This window comes from Homo sapiens, chromosome 9, assembly GCF_000001405.40.
Source record: "Homo sapiens chromosome 9, GRCh38.p14 Primary Assembly".
In the NCBI taxonomy this organism is placed as follows: Eukaryota; Metazoa; Chordata; class Mammalia; order Primates; family Hominidae; genus Homo; species Homo sapiens.
Window position 1 is genome coordinate 78,158,873 of NC_000009.12, and position 26,679 is coordinate 78,185,551.

At 40.2% G+C, this 26,679-nt stretch overlaps 3 pseudogenes, besides 1 other annotated feature; 2 read left to right on the forward strand and 1 right to left on the reverse strand.

The window, feature by feature from the left end:
- On the forward strand, window positions 6,593-6,906 carry RN7SKP59 (RN7SK pseudogene 59; annotated as a pseudogene).
- Window positions 18,771-18,984: a silencer, noted in NCBI's record as "fragment chr9:80792559-80792772 (GRCh37/hg19 assembly coordinates)". NCBI's record gives its function as "represses an EF-1alpha promoter that drives an FKBP-Casp9 reporter gene in an ReSE screen in HepG2 liver carcinoma cells {active_cell/tissue: HepG2}" and the evidence as "EXISTENCE:reporter gene assay evidence [ECO:0000049][PMID:32094911]".
- ASS1P3 (argininosuccinate synthetase 1 pseudogene 3) lies at window positions 19,290-20,869 on the forward strand (annotated as a pseudogene).
- Window positions 21,308-21,821, reverse strand: RPL21P84 (ribosomal protein L21 pseudogene 84; annotated as a pseudogene).

The following is a 26,679-nucleotide window of genomic DNA, read 5'->3' on the forward strand; positions in this document are numbered from 1 at the left end:
TCTCTGTGCTCCAAAAAACTTGCTTGCATTCAAGTTCACTGATTTTATTTTCTTCTGCAATGTCTATAATCCGTTAATTTTATCTAATATAGTTTTCAATGTGATTTTTTATTTGATCTTATTTATAGTTGTTTCATTTATTTATTTATTTTTTTTGAGACGGAGTTTCACTTTTGTTGCCCAAGCTAGAATGTAATGGCATGATCTCGGCTCACTGCAACCTCTGCCTCCTGGGTTCAAGTGATTCTCCTGCCTCAGTCTCCTGAGTAACTGGATTACAGGTATGCGCCACCATGCCCAGCTAATTTTGTATTTTTAGTAGAGATGGGGTTTCTCTATGTTTTTCAGGCTAGTCTTGAACTCCAGACCTCAGATGATCCACCCACCTCAGCCTCCCAAAGGGCTGGGATTACAGGTGTGAGCCACCATGCCCGGCCTCATGTTTTTTTTAGTATTATCAATTTGTCTCCTAATCATGTTTTTGTGTTACCTTTTTTAACATTGATCATTTATAATAGCTATTTTAATCTTCTACTCTGTTGATTATATTATCTCTACCATTTATGGGTCTATTTTTAGTAAATAATTTTTCTCACAGGTCCCATTTTTGGGCTTCCTTATATGTCTAGTAATTTTGATTGGATGCTGGACATGGTAAATTTTATATTGTTAAGGCTGAATGTTGTATTCCTTTAAAAATGTTGAATATTTTCTTGCTGATAGGTTATTGGCAGTTTGGCTTGAACTTTTTGAGGTTGTTTTAAGATCCACTCTTTCAGAGTGGGTCTAGAAGAGCCTTCTTCTGGAAATAATTTTTTTCATCCCATTTCTGAGGTGCATCTGAGTGGTACTAAATGTACTCAGCAGTGTCTCTCCAGTTTGGTTGTAAAAAACACTAATAATTTATGTGTGAGTCTGGGGATTGTTCATCTAACAGCTCCCCAGTAATTGTTTCTTCCTCCAGAGTTGTTCTTTCCCAGCTCCATGGGCTCTCATCATATACTTCTGCAGATAAATATTTTATCAAAATGTGAGGAAACATCTATGTGAATTTATAGAGTTTATTCTCTGTGTATATCTGTCCTCTTGGGTACTCTGTTCAACAAATTCTAGTTGCCTGAAATATAATCTCTGTCTCCTTAATTTCTGAAGATTGCCAAACTCTTTCTGTGTCACAGTTCAAGACCTATCCCAGGAGAGAAAAAACCTAGGCAATGGTAGGGTTCACTTCTTTTATTTCTCTTTTTTCAGGAGTCAAAATTCATTGCTACTTTTGTTTAATGTCTGAATATAGATATTTCCTAAATTTCATTCATCTTTCTAGTTGTTTGTGACGAAAGGTTAATTGCAGACTCTTAGTGCCTCGTGGCTGGAAGAAAAAATGAGCAGGATATTCTAATAACTAGTAAAAACTCCTAACCTAAGAAGTTTAGCTACTGCAATTATGTACTAATCTATGTCTCACCTTCCTGGAATTCAAGCATTATAAGGGACATAACTTCTGTACATATTCTTTTTTTTTTTTTTTTTGAGACAGAGTCTCGCTGTGTCACCCAGGCTGGAGTGCAGTGGTGAGATCTCGGCTCATTGCAAGCTCCGCCTCCTGGGTTCATGCCATTCTCCTGCCTCAGCCTCCCGAGTAGCTGCGACTACAGGTGGCCGCCACCATACCCGGCTAATTTTTTGTATTTTTAGTAGAGACGGGGTTTCACCGTGTTAGCCAGGGTGGTCTTGATCTCCTGACTTCGTGATCCGCCTGCCTCAGCCTCCCAAAGTGCTGGGATTACAGGCGTGAGCCACCGCGCCCGGCCACATATTCTTTTAAACTATAAACTCACAATTGGCTTTCTATACCATCAAGTACATTTAAGAACTTTCTTTTGCATTAAAAACATTCCAGATTAGAGAGAAAAAAAATTATTTATAGAATCCCTTATTCTCTGGGCTTTTATCTTTTTTTCTATATTTTTAAAACTACTTTTTTACAGTCTTAAGGGATACGCATGATTATTTCTCAGCTTTCCCGTCCTTCATCCTGATACTCTTCACATTGATAGTACTCAGAATTCTATCATTCTACTTCACGATAATTTTTTCCTTGTTCTTAAGAATTAGGTCCAAGTTAGTCTTTGCCCTCACTTCTTCCACAGCACACTTTGAAAGAAAGTGATCATCAGGGCAGAATTTACCAGTGCTCTGTTTTTAGAAGAATGGGACATTGAGCAGACATCTATCTGCTCGTGAGAAGCTCCCCATCCTTTTTATATCTTGTCTCTAGTCCAATTTTGTCATCTGCATGAGGGAAGCATTTTTGAGGCAGTTTGTAAAATATATTCTCTTATAACATTCACCCTATTTGTCTCTTTATTTAATTTCATCCAAATGGCTTCTGAATTCATTTTACTGATGTTTACTGATGGAATAGACATATGTAAATAGCTTTAGTATAGAATAAAGCTCTTTCTAGATAGTAATGTGTCATCATTGAAGACATAGTTGAATAATGATTATCTGTTATTTTCCTCAGAACCCTTGCCTTTTATTATATTACGTGGCAAGAGTAAGGCAGCAAAATATAGACAACAGTGCCAACAGCCATCACCCCGTTGATTAGGAGGAAAAAGTCTCAGGCTTTACGAAAGATGGTTTGTTAATGTAAATGGAGGAAAACAGGAGTGGAAGCAGTTGTTTTTGGGCATCTGGTAAATATAAACAGGGCCCATGCTTCTATTGTTGATTAGAATTTTGAAAGTCTTAATGATTTGAAAGCTGCATTAGATTTTCCATGACCGTAATTTTATATCAGACACATATTGACTCCTTCTGGGGATGTATATAAAGTTTATAGAAAAGGAATGTGTACATCTGTATTAAAAAGTATCTGGTTGTGTGTGTCCTATATATCAAATGTGAAAGGACCAAATGCTGACAGGCAGATTGGAAGACTGGGGTACAGAAAGCAGTCAGAGCAGAAAACTAAAGTGGGTACAAAAATACGGAGTTTTTTTTTTTTTAAAAAGCACATAAGACCAGCAACCTTTACACCTCTTGCCACACACACATAATCAATACTGATATTTAAGCATCCTAGGTGCTAATTTGGATATTTTAAAAGCCAAACAGGGCCTTTAGTCTGTCTTTCGATTTTTTTTGCTCAAACTCAGAAATATGTTCAATATATGGAAAGCTCTCCATGTGTTTGAGCAAAGTAGTGAAATTAGTAGCTTTCGCCATTCCTATATCATTAAGGACATGTTCATGATTGATTTTAATTACTGAGTGTGAGGTTTTTTTCTTAGATAAGAGATCATTTTTTTCCCTAATGCTTAATGAACTGAAATTCATTTCTCCCTCTTCAAGGAACGTGAACATTATCTCCATGATACTATATAACAGATGTGAGATTATTATTTGATATTCTGTAACTCAGTGGCTATATTCAAATGATTTGGTAGCATTTCCCAGACCATTGTGCATATGTAAAACACACACACACACACACACACAGAGAAGAACACCATGGCTTATTAGAGACTAGACTAGCTATATACTTGAAATAAGAATGAATTTTATAAACATCATCCTAGTGTTCAAAAAGTATTGACATATTATCTTGGGAAATGCTTATGATAAATGATACATTTTAAAAGCAGGACACTAAATTGTATTCCTCAATATGATTAAAACTGTGTAAACCAAACTCAAAAGCATATGGAATATTAGACGAGACTTCAGTTAAATATTATAAACTGAATGCGAGCATTTTCCTATGCTGCCTCCTGAACCCAGAGTACAATAACAATAAAATAGTTGTTTTAAAACAAACAAACAATAAACCAAGAAGTCAAAGAAAATGTGGTTATAGATGCTAGAAGATGAGAGGCTTCATTTAAATTTTAGATTCTGGAAAGCAGATACACAAGGGTAACTGAATTGAAAAACCAGAGAAAGCTGAGGAAATAAGGGAGAAATAAGAAGGAGGCCAGTTCATGCCTCCACACTCTATAAAAGACTGAGGAATTGACAAAGCTGATCATCTTTGATGGCAGAGGTTCAGAATTGCTTAAAAGTCTATTTTAAAAACATTTAGACCCTTTATGTATCCTTGCTACCTTCACAGTCAGGAGACAATCCCTAGTAAAAGACAAGATTTATTGAGAAGGAAGTTAAACTAGGGGAAGTCAAGGTATTCAGATAATTTATTGAATGGGTCATAGTAGAAAAAGAGAGCTGTTAAGTGACTGAAAGATCACTCCTGTTTTATTTTCTTCTACTTATCTCCAAGAACACAGTTTGTCAGATCATATACTTTTTTAAGACTGAAGGCTGAATTCCTCTCTATTCTGGCTTATGAAAAAAGGCCTAAGATATTGACAAGTGGAGATTCCCTCACAGAACAGCCAGGCTGTCTTCTAGGAAAGCCCATCACCCACTTTCACAAAAAGCTTCCAGTCAGCTTTTGAGACCTTCACATATTAACATGTTTGGAAAGCCAAGAATCACCAGCCATTTGACAACAACCCCTGCAGTTAAGCATAGAGACCAGATCAAATGGGAATAAAAAGAAACACCAAAAGTAGTCAATACCAAAACCAGAAGAAGACTCCAAATCATTAACATCCTCAGAGATATGAGAAAAGTTATTACATTCAAAAGTGGGTCAGGTTGCTGTACTGAATTTAAAGATATAATAGCTGATATGTAAAAGTCAATAGAATGGCTGCAGAATAAGTGAGGATATCTTCTAGAAATTAGAACAGAAAGACAATGAGATGGAAATGAAGAGAAAAGATAAGAAAATTAGAAGATCAGACAGGAAGATCAGACATTTACATCTAACAGAAATTCTAGAAAGAGAGAACAGAGAAAGTAAAGAGGAGAAAATTATTAAGGAATTATCCAAATAAGAATTTCCAGAACTGAAGGATAGAAATTCAGAGGGAAAGGGCCCAGCATAATAGATGAAAAATATGTTCCACACCAAAAGATATCATCACGAAGTTTTAGATTATCAGGGGTAGAACTACAATTCTAAAAGCTTTCAGAGAGAAAAATCAGGTCCATACATACAAATGGGAATTAGAAGGCAGCTAGAAAACGATGAAACTATGGCTTCAAAAATCTAAGGGAAGTGACTTTTCAACCTAGAATTTTATACCCATCCCAAATAGCAATTGAAAGGAGACCAGAGAGTCTAGATTGGATGTGGAGGACAAAGGGCTTCAGGAAGGGTGACTCCAAAAAACAACAAAATAAGGAAAAGAAAAGAGTAAAGGAAAAAAAGCAGATAGATTTTCCTGATGTAATTAATTAAATTCAGATTTTGCTTCTTTCAGATAATTTGAGAATAAATTTTTAATAACAACATAGAACATGAAGCAAGCAGAAGATCAAGGAAAATATTTACACTGTGTAATACGAAAAGTTGTACAATAAAGAAAATGTAATCAAAGTTAATTTCATGGCTCAGTTGTGAATATTATTTGTACAGTCATAATATACTTATGGAATATATGTATTGAGTTGTGATATAATTCTGTGGGGATAATTGAGGGAGGAGAAGTGCATATTTGGGAGGCAAGGGGCAGGAAAGAAACAAAGGTGTGAACTTTCGTCTTCCGTAGGAGAAAGTCAACAGATAATATCTAACCTTTTTTTTTAAATAGAAGACAAAAAGTTAAATTTAGAATAATTGCACCTGGGGAACAAAAATTGGGAAGTAGAAGTGTGGGGAATAGATGGCCGTTTTTATAAACATTATAGAGGTTTTATTTTATTAAAAAAGTAAACAGTCTTTTATAAAAAATAAAAATAAAATTCTGGACAAATTCAGTGTCTTCATATCATGTAAGAAATGGATGATTATTTTTCTTTCTAATTACAAAGTTTCTATAACTTACATGAATACATTTTTAAGAGGAAAAATAACATACTTCAACCTTTTAAGCGACTGTATTTTACTTATCTGGGCAAAAAGTATATCTTTAAACTGTTCACTAAACAAACTAATTTAAAGTATTAATAATGGGACATACCACATGCTAATGAATATAAGAACATAATATATATAAGGTGAAAACTCCTATTTTTAAACCATTGAAACAACATGAATATGGAAATGAACTATTCACAGTTAGCCAAACACAGTGCTTTTACATCTTTTTTTTTAAATTATTATACTTGAAGTTCTAGGGTACAAGTGCACAACGTGCAGGTTTGATACATAGGTATACATGAGCCATGTTGGTTTGCTGCACCCATCAACTCGTCATTTACATCAGGTATTTCTCCTAATGTTATTCCTCCCCCAGCTTCCCACTCCCTGACAGGTCCCGGTGTGTGATGTTCCCCGCCCCGTGTCCAAGTGTTCTCATTGTTCAATTCCCACCTATGAGTGAGAACATGCGGTGTTTGGTTTTCTGTCTTTGTGATAGTTTGCTAAGAATGATGGTTTCCAGCTTCATTCATGTCCCTGCAGAGGACATGAACTCATCTTTTTTATGGCTGCATAGTATTCCAGTGCTTTTACATCTTAGCTTGGACCTATACAAAAACTTTCAAAAGCTCCTTCAACTTTCAAAACGCCATTAAGGGATGTGAGGGCAATCTGGCTGTGACATCTGTCACCTCATTGATTGGCAGGGTTGATTCAGCTGATCTGGCTAGCTAGGTGGGTGTCCCCTTTCTACCTCACTGCTCCAGGTGCATCCTAACCAAAGCCCTGGGATTGATCAGATCCTTCCTCCATAGAAGAGGACTGTTCTTCTGTCAAGGGTGTACAAGTAGCTGTACTCCCTTGCTAGAACCTCCAAACAAGCTCTTAAAACATCATTAAGCTTAAGAATATTTATTTATTTATGAGATGGAGTCTCACTCTGTCACCCAGTCTGGAGTGCAGCGGCATGATCTTGGCTCACTGCAACCTCCGATTCCTGGGTTCAAGTGATTCTCCTGCCTCAGCCTCCCGAGCAGCTGGGATTACCGGTGTGTGCCACAATGCCCAGCTGATTTTTTGTTTGTTGGTATTTTTAGTAGAGACAGGGTTTCACCATGTTGGCCAGGCTGGTCTCAAACTCCTGACCTCAAGTGATCTGCCCGTCTCAGCCTCCCAAAATGCTGGGATTACAGGCATGAGCCACCGTGCCCAGCCTGGATTAGGAAAATTTAAAGGGAAAATAATCAAAGCCTAACCAGCTTTGAGATCATTCATATTTACCTCCGCTATCTTTTATCAATGCATAAACTCACGGTTTTACTTAGTCATATTCTGTGTATACCTGTGTAATCTGGTTGTCGTTGTTGTTGTTGTTGTTTTTTCCTAGAAGAGGTCTTGCTAACTGTAGAATTGGTATGAGGTGTAAAGTCCCAGAAAGGGAAAGTGGCAAAAATGCTCTATTTCCCTGAAGCTTCCATTTCCTCATCTATAAAATAAATCCAGTAGCTCTCTTAAAGGAGTAATTGAAATAATATATTTAAATCACCTACTACAGTGCCTGACTTAGAGTAAGCATGTAGTAGGTACTTTTCCTCCCCTTATCACACTTTCATACTTTTTTAAAGCATTGAGAATCATCCTTTGCATAGGATAGATAGTGAGCAGATAACTGTGACATAAAAATGTCATACTGTTGAAGCATGTTATTAATCTGATCTTTAGTTTTCTTTTACTCAAGCTAAGAAATTTCAGATGCTTATAAAAGATTTTATAAAGGACTTAATATTTCTGGATATATTTATCTCTGGATTCTCTCCTCCAAGTTATCTGCTCTTTGTGCTCATGATGCCCCTTAGTGGGAAGAGACTGCTTTTTACCACAGATGGAAGATGCCAAATATTGTTTCCCAGCATCCCTTGCTGTCAGAGAATGGGCAAGTGACCCAATTCTGGCTAATGAGAACTGAGAGGAATGTGGTAGGAAAGCTTCTAGGAACGATTTTCTTCTTCAATAACGTAGAAGGTCTCCCCTTCTTCCTGCTTTTTTCCCTGACAAAAGCATGAGGCTTGGAACTACAACAGCTATCTTGAGGCCATGAGGACAGGCCAAAAGAATAGCAGAGAAGCTGAAGCTAGTGCTACTTACCTGCACATTCTGGTTATGTAAGAATAAACCTCTATGATTTAAGCCATTTTAGTCAGATGTTCTGTACCTTGAAGCCATAGAAACTTTTCAGTATATCCGTGGTAAGCTTATAGTGTACAGCCTTGTAATAAACACAGCAATCTAATAATCAATGCTAGTAAAATGGGAATATTAATGCCCACTTTTCTATTTTGTTTTTATTTACCAGCTAATCAAGAAATTTTCTTTCTGGTTAAGCTAAATATCATATTACCCATTCTCTGTATTGAGTTGGGTGACAGTGGTTGCCTTCCAAATTTGAGACACTTTTATTTGTCTGATTTAAAACAGAAACCTATTATTGTTCAAAAAAACAAAAAAGAAAAGAAAAAGAAAAAAGTCATACAATTCAGAAAGTTTTACAAACAAAAGAAGCAAAACTCCTTCTTAGTTCTACTTCTTAGAGAAAACAATAGTTAACATTTTGCTGTGTTTCCTTCTGGAGTCTTTGTATCTGCATTGGCTTTAGTTATTGTTGCTACTTACTTATGTTATGGCAGGATCAGATTACTCCAGAGAAAACACTAGTGTTGCCAGGTGGCTGTTGGAATCCTGAAGTTCTTCTATTGACATAGTCTGAGGTGCCACAGCCTGTTAGCATACCGGGAAGCCCTACCCCGGTGATCTGACATGGAATCTGTCCAGCCCACTTTGGAGAAGTAATCAGGCTTATACTTGATGCACTGTTTTTTTGTTTTTTTGTTTTTTCTTTCCTCACTCTTTTCAAATCTATTCTCAATACTCAAGAGAGCAGTGTTCACCAGGGATCTGGAAGTTCCCACTGAAAAGGATATTTATTTATTTATTTATTTATTTATTGACAGAGTCTTGCTCTATTCCCCAGGCTGGAGTGCAGTGGCGTGATCTCAGCACACTGCAACCTCTGCCTTCCAGGTTCAAGTGATTCTCCTGCCTCAGCCTCCTGAGTAGCTGGGATTACAGGCACCCACCACCACTCCTGGCTAATTTTTTGTATTTTTAGTAGAGACAGGGTTTTGTCATGTTGGCCAGGCTGGTGTCAAATTCCTGACCTCAGGTTATCTGCCCACCTTGGCCTCCCAAAGTGCTGGGATTACAGGTGTGAGCCACCGCACCCAGCCGATGCTGAACATTTTATAGAGATCTTTAAAAGATAAATATTACAGGACTTGCTAATATATTGGTATCCAAATATATATATTACATCCAAATATTGGTGTCTGCAAGCAGGTAGATGGTATATGAGGAGACACTAGGCTATGTCCCAGTAACAAATGACTCCTGGCATGGACTGAATTGTGGTCCCCCATCCAGCATCCAAATTCGCAAGTAGAAGTCCTAACTTCCAGCTTCCTGGGATCATAGTGGAAAAGTGTGGGAAGATGGAGCTCAGTGGAAATCAGATCAAAAACATAAAGTGCAAAGAAATATGGGGAAAAGCGTTTAAGGGATCCCATCACATTGGACTAAGTCCTGCGATGAAGATTTTATGAGACATATTTGTCTACATAATAGCCCCCTCCCCCTTTTTTCTATTAACACCAAACAGAGTTCCAAAGAATGTACTTTGGGAAACATTCCTGTTGACAAAGTAAAGACTGTGCATTAAAGAAAGTCCACAGTAATATCTTCCATCTGTACTTAAAACCACAGAATTTTGAGGACTGCTTGAGAGCAAGTAAATAATCTTGTGTAGGGGTTTTCAAACTTTATTTCATACCAAATGTTACATAGAACACTAATATAAAAAACAAAAGTCCAGACACGGTGGCTCATGTCTGTAATCCCAGCACTTTGGGAGGCCAAGTGGGGGACGGATCGCTTGAGGTCAGGAGTTTGAGACCAGGCTGGCCAACATTGTGAAACCCCGTCTCTACTAAAAATCCAAAAACTAGCTGGGAGTTGTGGTGGGCGCCTGTAATCCCAGCTACTCGGGAGGCTGAGGCAAAAGAATCACTTGAACTCAGGAGGTGGAGGTTGCAGTGAGCCGAGATTGAGCCACTGCACTTCAGCCTGGATGACAGAATGAGACTCTGTCCGAAACAAAACAAAACAAAACAAAAAAACAAAGACAGGCAGAGCTGTTCTGGTTTCACCAGGCCTGAGATTAGTGCCCCATCTTCATTAGTACTTCTAACGTACATCTCCCACAGTCACCCCCGAGAAGCCTACGAATTAGAGAAACATTACCTAAAAAACCACAATCTAAGACAAGCTCCTTGTTCTTGGATGGGAAGATGACAGCATAGAGAGTTAGACAACTAATGGCACAGCTGGGTCTACAGTACAGGTCTCCAGCCCCAGCAAGCAGAGCGTATTTTCTATTGTATTATGTGGCCCGTGTCCTCGTCCTTCCCTGGCTTGTGTATCTCCCTATGATTGCTGTGTTTCTCTGTTGATTCCTAATGTCACAGCATCGGTGAACATAATGAATTCTGTTCTTCTCAAGAATCTCCCTGGGAGTAAGTGTTACCCAGAGAAGCATTTAGCTATTACTGGTGCACTAAATAATAGTATCCCAAATGGCATGAACAAGTTAATGTTTCTACCCAAGTGTCAAACATACTGAAAAAAAGTGATTTGGCTACATGGCAGATTCTGCCTCATAGATTAACAGCCTTTTCAAAAAGCTGGTTTATTGCAACTTCAGAATAACATAAAAATGATTTTGAGAACAAAATTCGCAGCAGATTCAACTTTTGAAGATTTGGATACGCACGGGCACAGGCAGCACATTTTTGCCCACTGACCCTGCTAAAAGGTTTCAGAAGCATTTATGCAAATATCAAAGAAGTACTAACAACATCCAAGCCTGTGCAGGTCGCTTGGCTAAGCCCTCATCTACTTTATCAATGTGCCCTTGGGAATGGTATTACCATAAAAGCCAAAACTTGTATATTAGGTTTTATAAATAATGGAAAACAAGTAAATGGAATAGCAGTGCCAATAGCCAAAAAGTGCATTGCTCACAGCTGCTTGAAAGCTCTCATACTGTAATGCAGGAATTGCCTTAGTAAATGGACCCACTTAATATCAACCAATGTTTTTCTTTTACACACATTTACAGAGGTTTGTTTTGCTTGCTTACAAGAAGGAGGGTCATCTGATTTTATAAAAATAATATCATTCTATGCTTGTTATTTTGTACCAGGCTTTTTTCATTTAAAAAGATCAGAAACAGATCTCTAAATATGAAGCTACCTCATTCTTTTAATAACTGCATAATATCTTGTAGCATGAATCTTTGCCGATTTATGCAATGATTTCTGTATTTGTAGTGAGGTTGTTTTCTTGTTCTGTGACAGCACTGGATATTTGCAGTCCTTACAATCTTTGTTATGAGGAAAAATACCTTGGTGCTTTAATTGGCATTTCCTGATCAACAGCAAGGCCAGCTAACTTCTTCTGTTCCTTGGCCGTTTAGAATTTTCTTGTCTCTAAATTGATTGTGCAAATATTTGTCTATATTTCTATTTAGGCAATTTAATTTTTGTCAATGGGTAAAAACAGTTTGCATATTAGAGATTAGCCACAAGTCTATCTTGTCTTTTAAATTTGTTTATATTTTCCTCTATCATCAAGGAGTTTTGAAGTTCAGTATTGTCAAAATTTTCAATCTTTTCTCTTTTGTTTCTGTATTTTATTTAGAAATCTCTTCTGATCCAGAGACCATAAAGATTTTTTTCTAAAAGTCTTTGAAATTTTGTTTTATCACATTTTACATCTTTGATCCCTCTGGCATTTATATTTTTAGATGGTATGAGGTAGGGATCTGGCATTATTTCGTTACATGAGAAAACCAATTTTCCTTTCATCTCAATTCTTTTCCATCTTTAAAGGGTTTTCCTCAAATGCATCTTCTTAGCTGGGTTGCAGGCATATCTATATTATAGTTCACAGGAAGAAGAAAAGGAAACTACCAAGGTAAAAGATTTTATTTTAACTAAGTAAAGCCAATGTTGCACACACCACTTCCATTCACATTACAATGGCCAGAACTTAATGACAAGGCCATAGAAAACAATAAAATATGGTAGGAAAATAACCGTTAGCTAAGCAGCCATGTGCCAAGGAAAAGGTAAGATTGGATTTCAGTAAACAGCCAGAAGTCTCCACCGATATTCATTTCTCCCATCTTTAATAATAGAAGCAAGTTTTATTTAAGAGAGCAATACCTTTAACTGAAATTTTAAAAAGCTCTCTTGCTGCTTGCTATGGTCATGTAATTATATGTAGACTATATGTAGACATTGATAGGAGAGATTTCTGGGACAGATGCTTCAAATATGTGTAGATGTCTTGGTATACCATTTTGTCCCTCCCACTCCATTTCTTCCAGTTACCAGGCATGTGTACACTATTGCTGGTGTTCCAGCAAGTATCTTGGGAACATGAGAATATTGAGAATGAAAATCAAGCACTCAGGAACTATAACACATAAAATGATAACTGTTGTAAAACAAAACAGTTTCATGAGCTTGAGGTGGGCAAAAACTACGATTTATAAATGAAAATATTGATGATTGGACCTATTAAATTTAAGAACTTCTGTTCATCCAAAGACACTGTTAAGAGTAAAAAGCAACTAATATACAAAATATGTAAGAAACTCAATTCAATAGCAAGAAAACAAATAACCCAGTAAAAAAATGGGCAAAACACCTGAATAGACATTTCTCAAAAGAAGACATACAAATAGCCAACAAATATATGAAACATGCTCAACTTCATTAATCACTAGAGAAATGCAATTTAAATCCATAATGAGGTATAACCTCACACCTGTTAGAATGAATGGCTATCATAAAAAAGATGAAAGATAATAAGTGTTAGCAAGGATGTGGAGAAAAGGGAACCCTGGTACACTGCTGGTGAGAATGTAAATTAGTGCAGCCATTTTGGAAAACAGCATGAGCGTTCTTAAAAAAACTAGCAATAGAATTACCATGTGATCCAGCAATCCCACTTCTGGGTATATAGTAAAAGGAACTGAAATTAGAATGTCAAAGAGATATCTGCAGTTCCATGTTCTCTGCAGCATTATTCACAATAGCCAAGATGTGGAAGCAATCTAAATACCCATCAACAGATGAATATATAAAGATAATATGATATATACACATAATGTAATACTATTCAGCCTTAAAAAGAAGAAATTTTGTCATTTGCAAGCACATATGAACCTAGAGGAAATTATGATAAGTGAAATAATCCAGGCACAGAAAGACAAATACTTGGTCTTATTTTCATGGGGAATCTAAAAAAAGTCAAATTCATAGAAGCAGAGAGTAGAATGGTGGTCACCAGAGACTGGGGGTGAAGATGGGGAAAGGAGAGAGGTTGGTTAAAGAGTGCAAAGTTTCAGTTACACCGAAGGAATAAATTTTAGTGATCTATTATGCAGCATGGTGACTAGAGTTAATAATAATGTGTCATATATTTCAAAATTGCTAGAAGAGTAGATTTTAAATGTTCTCACCACACAAAAAAATAGTAAGCTGGTGAGGTGACGGATGTGTTAATTAGCCTGATTTAATCATATCACAATATATTCATATGTAAACATCATATTATACCCCATTATATCTATCTATCTATCTATCTATCTATCATTACTATTTGTCAAGTAAACAAAATAAATAAATAAATAAGTAAAATGTTTTTAAAAAGAGTAAAAATAAACTGTTTTCTCTGCTTACATGTTGGTGATGGCCATGACGCCCACGCTGAAGGTTGTGGGTTCACCGGAATGAGGGCAAGGAACACCTGGCCCAGCCAGGGCGGAAAACTGCTTAAAGGCGTTCCTAAACCACAAACAATAGCATGAGTGATCTGTGCCTTAAGGACATGTTCCTGCTGCAGATAACTAGCCAGATCCATCCCTTTATTTCAGCCCATCCCTTTGTTTCCCTGTAAGGAATACTTTTAGTTAATCTATAATCTATAGAAACAATGCTTATCACTGGCTTACTGTCAATAAATATGTGGGTAAATCTCTGTTCGAGGACCTCAGCTCTGAAGGCTGTGAGACCCCTGATTTCCTACTCCACACCCTATTTTTCTGTGTGTGTCTTTAATTCCTCTAGCGCCACTGGGTTAGGGTCTCCGTGACCGAGCTGTTCTCGGCAATTTCTTCAAACTTTATTGATTTTTGTCCTAGATATGGTTCAAACATTCCTACTTCTTCACATGAGTAGAAATTTTGCATTGTATACTGGATTTCAGCTATTTTCTTGAGTATCTGGATTTTGTTGATTCCTCAACAGGGTTTTGAGCTCTGTTCTGAAAGGCAGGCAATTTACTTGAGAATTAGTTTAATCCTTCCAAGTCATCTTTATAAGATTTGTTTGGGAAAGTCTTAAGTGGTGCTTCCCTCCTTCATGCTAAATTAGCCATCTTCCTAAATTATAGCCTTTCTCAGGCCTCTATTGTGTACTCTGGGTGTTCAGTACATTCTCTCTGCTCGGGGTGGTCAGGACTCAAATGTCCCTGACCCTTTCACTAGCCCTGGAAATTGTTCATCTCACAGCACACTGACAGTCATTCTTTCCCTGGTAATAGTTCTTTCCTGGGCAGGTGCAGTAACCCTGTGCATGACCAGTTCAGTGTCTGGCCTACTATGCAGATTTCTGGATCTTCTTTTCAACACCACTCTCTTCTTCCAGGAAAATTCTGGGCATCTCAGGGTTCTTGAATTATGGCCTCTTTCTCCTCACCTCCTTGAGACTGCTGTGCTCTGTCTGGGCCACCTATCCTCACACCAATATGCAGAATGTGTGTCTGTGCAGAAATCCGGGGTGTTTATGGGTCTCACTGTATTTATTTCCCTTCTCTCAGGGATCACAGTTTTGGAATACCTATTGAAAATGTCTAAAAACAGTCACAATAAATTTTATTTTGTTTTGTTTTTAACCATGAGAGTATAGTTAGGTACCAATGATCTCATCATGGCTGGAAATTTCTCATGTTTCATTGGCAAGAGTCCCTCTCCCACATGAAGTGTATCTTTCCTGAGATCAAGAAACCTTCATTCAACATCTGAACAAAATCAGCATTCTAATGAGATTTTTCAAAAGAAGGCCAGTGGTATGTGGAGTCAGGAAGATACTTGTTGGTGAGGGGGCCATTATATTTTTCATCATAGATAATCCTACTTTATTCTCTGGTTACTTTTAAGGTTTCCCTCTTTTCCCTTTTACTATGATGTAACCATTGAGGAAGTATTTTTATCCTGCTTAGGATTCGTTATTTCTCTCTCATCTGGATATGGATGTATTTAATTAATTATTGAAAATTTCCCACTATTAAATAAGCAAATATTGCCTCATTATTCTCTTTATTTTCTTCCTTTGGAGAGCCTAGATGTGAATTAGACCTTTTCCTTCTATCTGTCGGTTTACGACTGTCTTTCATATTTCTTTTATTTCAGGCTGCATTTTGTGTGAATTCTCAGATCTGTCCTCTGTTTACCTAGTTGTCACTTCAGTTGTGAGTAATCAGATGTTTAAGCTGCCCAACAAGTTTATAACTTCAACACCTCACATTTTTCATTTCTGTAAGTATTATTTGGTTCTTTTCAAACTTGCCGGTTCTTTCCCCCCAACCCCGCCCCTATTATCCTCTTTTTCCTGGTATAATTTATCAGTTGGTTTGATCTGGGCTTTAAGTAATAAAAGACCAAGTGCAAATTATTTAAACCATAAGTTTACTCCACACAATAAAAACTTCAAAGATAGGGCAGCTCCAGAGTAGTTAAATTCAGTGGATCAATTATATCATCAAGGACTCAGGGTCTTTCCATCTTTCTGTTCTCCATCCTTAATGTTTGGCTGTGCCTTGGGCCTTTCCTCTCATGGTTCACAAGATAGCTGCAGCAGCAGCTCCAAGCACCTCATCCTCACATAGATTGTCTAGTGGCGGAAAGAGGATATCACTTCAAATGTCCCTGTATATGAACCAAGAAGACTTTTCCATAAACTTCACAGATTTTTCCTCATGTCTTGTTGACTACAATTGTGCCACACACTGTTCTTAAATTATAAGGAGATGGAGTTACCATGACTGATTTACACCAATCACGATCTGTCTCCTCTGACTGGGCAGGAACCCAGGCTCCCCTGAAGCTCTAGCTGCTTTAAAATCTAAACAAAAGTATAATAACGTCTGTGATAAGCCAGAAATTGGGAGAAATAACTGTTTGGTAAGCAATCAATAGTATTTATTATAGCATTTATTCCTTTAGAAAAATCTATATAAATACTAACAAATACTTCTTTTAAAGAATTGTTCAGATTATTTTATTACTTAGGGTCATATTCTTAAGGTCATAATCCTCCTACATTATCTTTTGACTGTCTCAGAGTCAATCACTTCCCCATGAGGCATGTAATTTTCTTATAATGAGCTAGCAATTGTTTTCCCTGGTGGGAATTTTATAAGCACAGAGCCATAAAAGTGGTCTGTGTTTTTATTATGTTTGTTTAAATGTTTACTTCAGCTGAGGTTTCCCTAATCCAAAACCTGTTTTATTTATTTGTTTTTCTGAGATGGAGTTTTGTTCTTGTTGCCCAGGCTGGAGTGCAATGGCATGATCTCCTCTCACTGCAACCCCCGCCTACCGGGTTTAAGTGATTCTCCTGCCTCAGCTTCCCAAGTAGCTGGGACTACAGGCGTGCGCCTCTATGTCTGGCTAATTTTGTATTTTTAGTAGAGGCGGGATTTCACCATGTTGGCCAGGCTGGTCTCAAACTCCTGACCTCAGGTGATCCACCCGCTTCAGCCTCTCAAAGTGCTGGGATTACAGGTGTGATCCACCACACCTGGCCTGAAACCTGTTTTTATACTAACATTTCAACGTAAGGAATGTCATACTAAATGTGTAATATACATTTTTATTCCACCCTATGCATGGTCCAAATGTGGGGCTTTGATTTCTTACAGTAGACATGTTTAATTTCTACCTGGAGGCTCATAGGGTCAAGTGCTCTTTTGGTCACCCAGAACCAGGTACATAGTTTTTTTCCGTTCTCCTTTTCCAGAAGTGGCAGCCCTTCCAGAATCCTGGTTTTATCTAGAATTATCCTTCTCAACAAGGCTGTTTTCTTGCCCAAATCTAAGGAAATCTGATCCCCATGGGAGCTGTGCTATGGTGGCCATTCACATCATATTGTAGCTCCTCTAGGCTGGTGGGTGCTTGTAGCCTCTAGAAACTGTATTCCATCTGAGCTGTCTGGAGAATTTCCTCTTTGTTTTGAGCTGTTAAGTATTGACATTTTTTTTAACCCATATTTTATCCAGCAGTTCAATGTGCTTGTGATTGAGGGAGAGGGGTCCATATTAGTTCATTTACCATATTAACAAAATGTTTTTAAAGCTTTTTTGAAAAACTTCATTTAATCCACCTAATAATTATTTTTTTCAGATGATAATTGGGGGTGTGGATATTTAGAAAAGCTACTTAGAAAAGTTTTGTCTGTTGATTTTGTATTCTGTGTATCTTGTGGAACAAATAAAAGTTCAATTTTTGGGGGGTTGGTTTTCTGTATAGTCATATTGCCTGCAAATAATAATTTTGTCTCCATTTTCCGATGTGTGTACCTCAAAACAGTTTTCTTTTCTGCTTTATTTCATTGTCTATGATTTTCTATGATGAATAGTAGTAGTGTTAGCAATCAATACGTCTACCTTTACTGGAGGCGATTCTAAGTTGCTTTTTTTTTTTTTTTAATCAAATTGTGATGGGTAGGAGATGCACCGCCCACCCCCTTCCAAGGAATGACTTGCTGCTACAATTCCTTCGGGGTTTTCCTCAACTACAGGGAGCTGCCTCAGCCAAGAGTACACCCTTCCTGCAGTGCTGGGCATCCAATTATTGATCGAGGCAGGGGTATAAAAGCCAGATTTTATAGGTTCAGTGCAGGACACCGCTGATGGGCTCTCTCTCTCTTTCTGCCAAATCCTGCTGCCTTCTCCCTTCCACAGGGAGTGAATCCTAATAAATATCTTGCACATTGAATGCTGTTTCAGCATCTGCTTTCAGATAACGCAGGCTGAAGTTTTCTTTTCCTCCAGGTTGTTTAGAGTTTATAAAACAAAAAAGAATCTCACTGAATTTTATCAAATGTTTACTAGGTGTCTAGTGAGATAATCATAAATTTCACTTCTATTGGTCAAAAATGTAATGAATTATACTGTTAGATTTCCATTCTTAAATTCTTGGTGGAAAATCTACTTATTTAATTAGAAGCATTTTTAAAAATATTCTGCTATACTTTAGTTGCTAGAAAGTTATTAAGAATTCTTGCCTCTCTGTTCATAAGTCATACTATTCTGTAATTTCTGTTTGTTTATTTTAATTCTATTGTCTTTGTGAGCTTTGGTAGCAGGGTTATGCCAGCCTTGCAGGATAATTTGGGGGAACTTTGTATTTTTAATAATGTTCTGAGAGAGCTTACAAACACAGAGGTTACCTGGTTCCTGAATGTTTGTTTGCACTCAGCTATAAAACCATTTATGTCTGGGGTGTTTTATTAGAAAGAGGATGAAGTTTTGATTATCATGAAGGTTTTTGTTTTGTTTTGGTTTTCTTTTCTCTTTTTTTTTTTTTTTTTTGAGACAGAGTTTCGCTCTTGTTGCCCAGGCTGGAGTGCAGTGGCGCAACCTCGGCTCACTGCAACCTCCCTGTCCCCAGTTCAAGTGATTCTCCTGTCTCAGCCTCCGGAGTAGCTGGGACTACAGGCATGTGCCACCATGCTTGGCTAACTTTTTGTATTTAGGAGAGATGTGGTTTCACCATGTTGGCCAAGCTGGTCTTGAACTCCTGACCTCAGGTGATCCACTCACCTTGGTCTCCGCAAGTGCTGGGATTACAGGCATGAGCCACTGTGCCCAGCCTATCTTGAAGTTTTATCTGTGGCCTTTCTTTTGTTTTCCTTGGTGATTAATATTTTTCTAGATAATCATCTGTTTCCTCTAAATTTTAATATTTATTTTCATAAAGCTTAACATATTATTCTTTTTAATTTTTAAATGTTCTTGATTGTATTTATATTCTATTTCCCTTCCTAATGAGTTTATGTGTGTGTCCCTTCTTCCTTTTTTTCTTGATCAATCTTAACGAAGTTTGTCTATTTAGTTTTATTATACTCAAAGAATAAGCATTTAGTTTCCTTTTAAGAACTATTAATTTCCACTGCTCTGTCACCTGCCACCGCTGCCCAAGCCTGAGTGGTTCACTACACCATGAAGACAGATTCCAGATGCCGGCAACTGGTGCTTCCAATCCTAGACGCTATGTCCAGCAAAGACTCCATGGTTCTGGCCTACAGTGGGGCCTGGACACCTCCTGCATCCTCATGTGGCCGAAGGAACAAGGCTATGACATAATTGCCTACCTAGCCAACATTGGCCAGAAGGAAGACTTCGAGGAAGCCAGGAAGAAGGCACTGAAGCTTGGGGCCAAAAAGGTGTTCATTGAGGATGCCAGCAGGGAGTTTGTGGAGGAGTTCATCTGGCCGGCCATCCAGTCCAGGGCACTGTATGAAGACCACTGCCTCCTGGGCACCTCTCTTGCCAGGCCCTGCATTGCCTGCAAACAAATGGAAATTGTCCAGCAGGAGGGGGCCAAGTATGTGTCCCACGGTGCCACGGGAAAGGGGACCGATCAGTTCTGATTTGAACTCACCTGCTACTCACTGGCCCCCCCCCAGATAAAGGTCATTGCTCCCTGGAGGATGCCCGAGTTCTACAACTGGTTCAAGGCCTTCAATGACCTGATGGAAGAATACACAAAAGCAACACGGGATTCCCATCCTGGTCACTTCCAAGAAGCCATGGAGCATGGAACAGAACCTCATGCACATCAGCTGTGAGGCTGGAATCCTGGAGAACCCCAAGAACTAAGTGCCTCCAGGTCTCTACACGAAGACCCAGGACCTGGCCAAAGCCCCCAACACCCCTGATATTCTCGAGTTCCAAAACGGGGTCCCTGTGAAGGTGACCAACGTCAAGGATGGCACCACCCACCAGACCTCCTTGGTACCTTGGTACCTCCTTTTCATGTACCTAAACGAAGTCACGGGCAAGCAGGGTGTAGCCATACTGACATCGTGGAGAACCGCTTCATTGGAATGAAGTCCCAAGGTATCTAGGATACCCCAGCAGGCACCATCCTTTACCACGCTCATTTAGACATCAAGGCCTTCACCATGGACCTGGAAGTGCGCAAAATCAAACAAGGCCTGGGCTTGGAATTTGCTGAGCTGGTGTATACCGGTTTCTGGCACAGACCAGAGTGTGAATTTGTCCGCCACTGCATTGCCAAGTTCCAGGAGCGAGTAGAAGGGAAAGTGCAGGTGTCCGTCCTCAAGGGCCAGGTGTACATCCTCAGCTGGGAGTACGCACTGTCTCTCTACAGCCAGTTGCTGGTGAGCATGAAAGTGCAGGATGATTATGAGCCAATTGATGCCATCAGGTTCATCAACATCAATTCCCTCACGCTGAGGGAATATCATCGTCTCCAGAGCAAGGTCACTGCCAAATAGACCCCTGTACAATGAGGAGTTGGGGTCTCCTCAATTTGCAGATCCCCCAAGTACAGGCGCTAATTGTTGTGATAATTTGTAACTGTGACTTGCTCTCCCCGGCTGGCAGCATAGTGGGGCTGCCAGGCTCCAGCTTTGTTCCCTGGTCCCCCTGAAACCTGCAAACGTCATCATTGAAGGGAAGGGGCGGGGCAGATGGAGTGGGGAGCTATAAAATTACAATTAAAAGGAAAAAAAAGAACTATTAATTTCCTTTTTATTTTATTGATTTCTTCTCATATCTTTATTGATCACTTCCTTTCTTTGTCTTGTTTTCCTTTTATTTTTTAATCATTACTATTTAGTAATAAATGTGTTTCTCTCTGTATCTTTGGCCATATCCTATTGATAGCACATGGGCTTCTGATAATCATTTATTTACAATTAACTGGTAATTGAGCTTTTTAAAATCTGCAAACCATGATTTGCTTAGAAAACTATTTTTAAGTGCCAGTTGTATGTCTGACTTAAACATAGACATATAATACCTTTTAATATTAATTTTTAAGTTATATTTGATTATTGTCAAAGAACGTAACTTAGTATATTTCCCTAGAATCTACTGAGTTTTTTAAATAGCCCAATGTTTGGTCCAGAGTTATATATTTTTCAAGGCTATTCAGAAAACAGCCCAGAGGTCTTTTTTTCTTTTTTAACACCTATTATGCCATGAATTCATAGGGAATAGGTTCCAGCAGCTCATAGCTCCTTCCCATTGGTTCTCACAAAGTGTGCTTCTCTGGGTGGAGCAGGCTGGCGCTTCATTTGAACCCAGGTACCTTCTCTTTGGCTTCTTTCTTTTTCTGATCATTTTCCTTCATGCGTTTCAGGGAGCTCTCTCAGCTCTCAGAGTGCTTAATGTGCTCAATGTGCACATTAATTCTCTCGGCAAGAATCTTGCCCTTAGCTTGTTTGTTTATAACAATGCCAACAGCATGCTGGGGAACATTGTAGACTCTTCCAGTTTAGCCATGGTGACACTTGTGGGGCATTCCTTTTTGAACAGTACCCATTCCCTTGATGTCAACGATATCACCTTTCTCGTAGATTCACATATACATGGCCAAAGAAACAACTCCACATTTTCTAAAAGGCCTAGAGAACATATATCGGGTGCTTCTCCTCTTTCCCTTTGTGTTCGTTGTCAGGCCTCTGAGCCCAAGCTAAGCCATCATATCCCCTGTGACCTGCACATACACATCCAGATGGCTGGTTCCTGCCTTAACAGATGACATTCCACCACAAAAGACATGAAAATGGCCTGTTCCTGCCTTAACTGATGACATTATCTTGTGAAATTCCTTCTCCTGGCTCATCCTGGCTCAAAAGCTCCCTGACTGAGCACCTTGTAACCCCCACTCCTGCCTGCCAGAGAACAACCCTCCTTTGACTGTAATTTTCCTTTACCTACCCAAATTTTATAAAATGGCCCTACCCCTATCTCCCTTCTCTGACTCTTTTCGGACTCAGCCCACCTGCACCCAGGTGATTAAAAAGCTATATTGTTCACACAAAGCCTGTTTGGTAGTCTCTTCACACAGACACACATGAAATTTGGTGCCATGACTCGGATCAGGGGACCTCCCTTGGGAGATCAATCCCCTGTCCTCCTGCTCTTTGTGCCGTGAGAAAGATCCACCTACAACCTCAGGTCCTCAGACCAACCAGCCAAAGAAACATCTCACCAATTTCAAATCTGGTAAGCAGCCTCTTTTTACTCTCTTCTCCAACGTCCCTCACTATCCCTCAACCTCTTTCTCCTTTCAATCTTGGCACCACACTTCTATCTCTCCCTTCTCTTAATTTCAATTACTTTCATTTTCTGGTAGAGACAAAGGAGACATGTTTTATCCGTGGACCCCAAACTCCAGCTCCGGTCATGGACTGGGAAGGCAGCCTTCCCTTGGTGCTTAATCATTGCAGGGGCACCTCTCTGATTATTCACCCAGGTTTCAGAGGTGTCAGACCACGCAGGGACGCCTGCCTTGGTCCTTAGTGGCAAGTCCCACTTTTCTGGGGGAAGGGCAAGAACCCCAAGCCCTTCTCTCCATGTCTCTATCCCTTCTCCACTTTTCTGGGGGAGGGGCAAGAACCCCTCAACCCCTTCTCCTTCACCCTTAGCGGCAAGTCCCACTTTTCTAGGGGAGGGGCAGGAACCCTGACCTCTTATCTGTGTGCCCCGATCCCTTATTTCCACACCCCAACCTCTTATCTCTGTGCCCCAATCCCTTATTTCTGCACCTCTACCCCTTGTCTCTGTGCCCCGATCCCTTATTTCTGCACCCCGACCCCTTATCTCTGTGCCCTGATCCCTTATTTCCATGCCCTGACCCCTTATCTCTGTGCCCCAATTCCTTATTTCCATGCCCCGACCTCTTATGTCTGTGCCCCAACCACTTATTTCTGCACCCCAACCGCTTCTCTGCTTTTCTGGAGGGCAAGAACCCCCCACCCCTTCGTGTCTCTACTGTCTTTTCTCTGGGCTTGCCTCCTTCACTATGGGCAAGCTTCCACTTTCCATTCCTCCTTCTTCTCCCTTAGCCTGTGTTCTTAAGAACTTAAAACCTCTTCAACTCTCACCTGACCTAAAATCTAAGTGTCTTATTTTCTTCTGCAATGCCGCTTGACCCCAATACAAACTTAACAATGGCTGTAAATGGCCAGAAAACGGCACTTTCGATTTCTCCATCCTACAAGACCTAAATAATTTTTGTCAAAAAATGGGCAAATGGTCTGAGGTGCCTTACATCCAGGCATTTTTCACACTTCGTTCCCTCCCTAGTCTCTGTTCCCAGTGCAATTCCTCCCAAATCCTCCTTCTTTCCCTCCCACCTGTCCCCTCAGTCCCAACCCCAAGCGTTGCTGAGTCTTTCTAATCTTCCTTTTCTACAGACCCATTTGACCTCTCCCCTCCTTGCCAGGCCGAGCTAGGTCCCAATTCTTCCTCAGCCTCCGCTCCTCCACCCTATAATCCTTTTATCACCTCCCCTCCTCACACCCAGTCCGGCTTACCGTTTCGTTCCATGACTAGCCCTCCCCCACCTGCCAGCAATTTACTCTTAAAAAGGTGGCTGGAGCTAAAGGCATAGTCAAGGTTAATGCTCCTTTTTCTTTATCCCAAATCAGATAGCATTTAGGCTCTTTTTCATCAAATAAAAAAATCCAGCCCAGTTTATGACTCGTTTGGCAGCAACCCTGAGACGCTTTACAGCCCTAGACCCTAAAAGGTCAAAAGGCCGTCTTATTCTCAATATACATTTTATTACCCAATCTGCTCCCGACATTAAATAAAACTCCAAAAATTAAATTCTGGCCCTCAAACCCCACAATAGGACTTAATTAACCTTGCCTTCAAGGTGTACAATAATAGAGTAGAGGCAGCCAAATAGCAACATATTTCTGAGTTGCAATTCTTTGCCTCCACTGTGAGACAAACCCCAGCCACATCTCCAGCACACAAGAACTTCCAAAAGCCTAAACTGCAGTGCCAGGCATCCTCCAGAACCACCTCCCCCAGGAGCTTGCTACAAGTGCCAGAAATCTGGCCACCAGGCCAAGGAATGCCCACAGCCTGGGATTCCTTCTAAGCCGTGTCCCATCTGTGCGGGACCCCACTGGAAATCGGACTGTTCAACTCACCTGGCAGCCACTCCCAGAGCCCCTGGAACTCTGGCCCAAGGCTCTCTGACTGACTCCTTCCCGGATCTTCTTGGCTTAGCGGCTGAAGACTGACGCTGCCCGATCGCCTCGGAAGCTCCGTAGACCATCATGGACGCCGAGCTTTAGGTAACTCTCACAGTGGAGGGTAAGTCCGTCCCCTTCTTAATCAATACAGAGGCTACCCACTCCACATTACCTTCTTTTCAAGGGCCTGTTTCCCTTGCCTCCATAACTGTTGTGGGTATTGACGGCCAGGCTTCTAAACCTCTTAAAACTCCCCAACTCTGGTGCCAACTTAGACAATACTTTTTTAAGCACTCCTTTTTAGTTATCCCCACCTGCCCAGTTCCCTTATTAGGCTGAGACACTTTAACTAAATTATCTGCTTCCCTGATTACTCCTGGACTACAGCTACATCTCATTGCCACCCTTCTTCCCAATCCAAAGCCTCCTTTGCGTCCTCCTCTTGTATCCCCCCACCTTAACCCACAAGTATAAGATACCTCTACTCCCTCCTTGGTGACCGATCATGCACCTCTTACCATCTCATTAAAACCTAATCACCCTTACCCTGCTCAATGCCAATATCCCATCCCACAGCATGCTTTAAAAGGATTAAAGCCTGTTATCACTCGCCTGTTACAGCATGGCCTTCTAAAACCTATAAACTCTCCTTACAATTCCCCCATTTTACCTGTCCAAAAACCAGACAAGTCTTACAGATTAGTTCAAGATCTGCACCTTATCAACCAAATTGTTTTGCCTATCCACCCCATGGTGCCAAACCCATATACTCTCCTATCCTCAATACCTCCCTCCACAACCCATTATTCTGTTCTGGATCTCAAACATGCTTTCTTTACTATTCCTTTGCACCCTTCATCCCAGCCTCTCTTCGCTTTCACTTGGACTGACCCTGACACCCATCAGGCTCAGCAAATTACCTGGGCTGTACTGCCACAAGTCTTCACAGACAGCCCTCATTACTTCAGTCAAGCCCAAATTTCTCCCTCATCTGTTACCTATCTCGGCATAATTCTCATAAAAACACATGTGCTCTCCCTGCTGATCATGTCCGGCTAATCTCCCAAACCCCAATCCCTTCTACAAAACAACAACTCCTTTCCTTCCTGGGCATGGTTGAATATTTTTGCCTTTGGATACCTGGTTTTGCCATCCTAACAAAACCATTATATAAACTCACAAAAGGAAACCTAGCTGACGCCATAGATCCTAAATCCTTTCCCCACTCCTCTTTCCATTCCTTGAAGACAGCTTTAGAGACTGCCCCCACCCTAGCTCTCCCTGACTCATCCCAACCCTTTTCATTACACACAGCTGAAGCACAGGGCTGTGCAGTCGGAATTCTTACACAAGGACCGGGATCGCGTCCTGTAGCCTTTTTGTCCAAACAACTTGACCTTACTGTTTTAGGCTGGCTATCATGTTTCTATGCAGTGGCTGCTGCCGCCCTAATACTTTTAGAGGCCCTTAAAATCACAAACTATGCTCAACTCACTCTCTACAGCTCTCATAATTTCCAAAATCTATTTTCTTCCGAACACCTGACGCATATACTTTCTGCTCCCCGGCTCCTTCAGCTGTACTCACTCTTTGTTGAGTCTCCCACAATTACCATTGTTCCTGGCCCAGACTTCAATCCGGCCTCCCACATTATTCCTGATACCACACCTGACCCTCATGACTGCATCTCTCTGATCCACCTGACGTTCACCCCATTTCCCCATATTTCCTTCTTCCCTGTTTCTCACCCTGATCACACTTGGTTTATTGATGGCAGTTTCACCAGGCCTAATCGCCACACACCAGCAAAGGCAGGCTATGCTATATAGTACAAGCCACTAGCCCGCCTCTTAGAACCTCTCATTTGCTTTCCATCGTGGAAATCTATCCTCAAGGAAATAACTTCTCAGTGTTCCATCTGCTATTCTACTACTCCTCAGGGATTATTCAGGCCCCCTCCCTTCCCTACACATCAAGCTCAGGGATTTGCCCCGACCCAGGACTGGCAAATTTGCTATTCTATTACTTCTCAGGGATTATTCAGGCCCCCTCCCTTCCCTACACATCAAGCTCGAGGATTTGCCCCACCCAGGACTGGCAAATTAGTTTTACTCAACATGCCCCGAGTCAGGAAACTAAAATACCTCTTGGTCTAGGTAGACACTTTCACTGGATAGGTAGAGGCCTTTCCCACAGGGTGTAAGAAGGCCACCACAGTCATTTCTTCCCTTCTGTCAGACATAATTCCTTGGTTTGGCCTTCCCACCTCTATACAGTCCGATAGCAGACCAGCCTTTATTAGTCAAATCAGCCAAG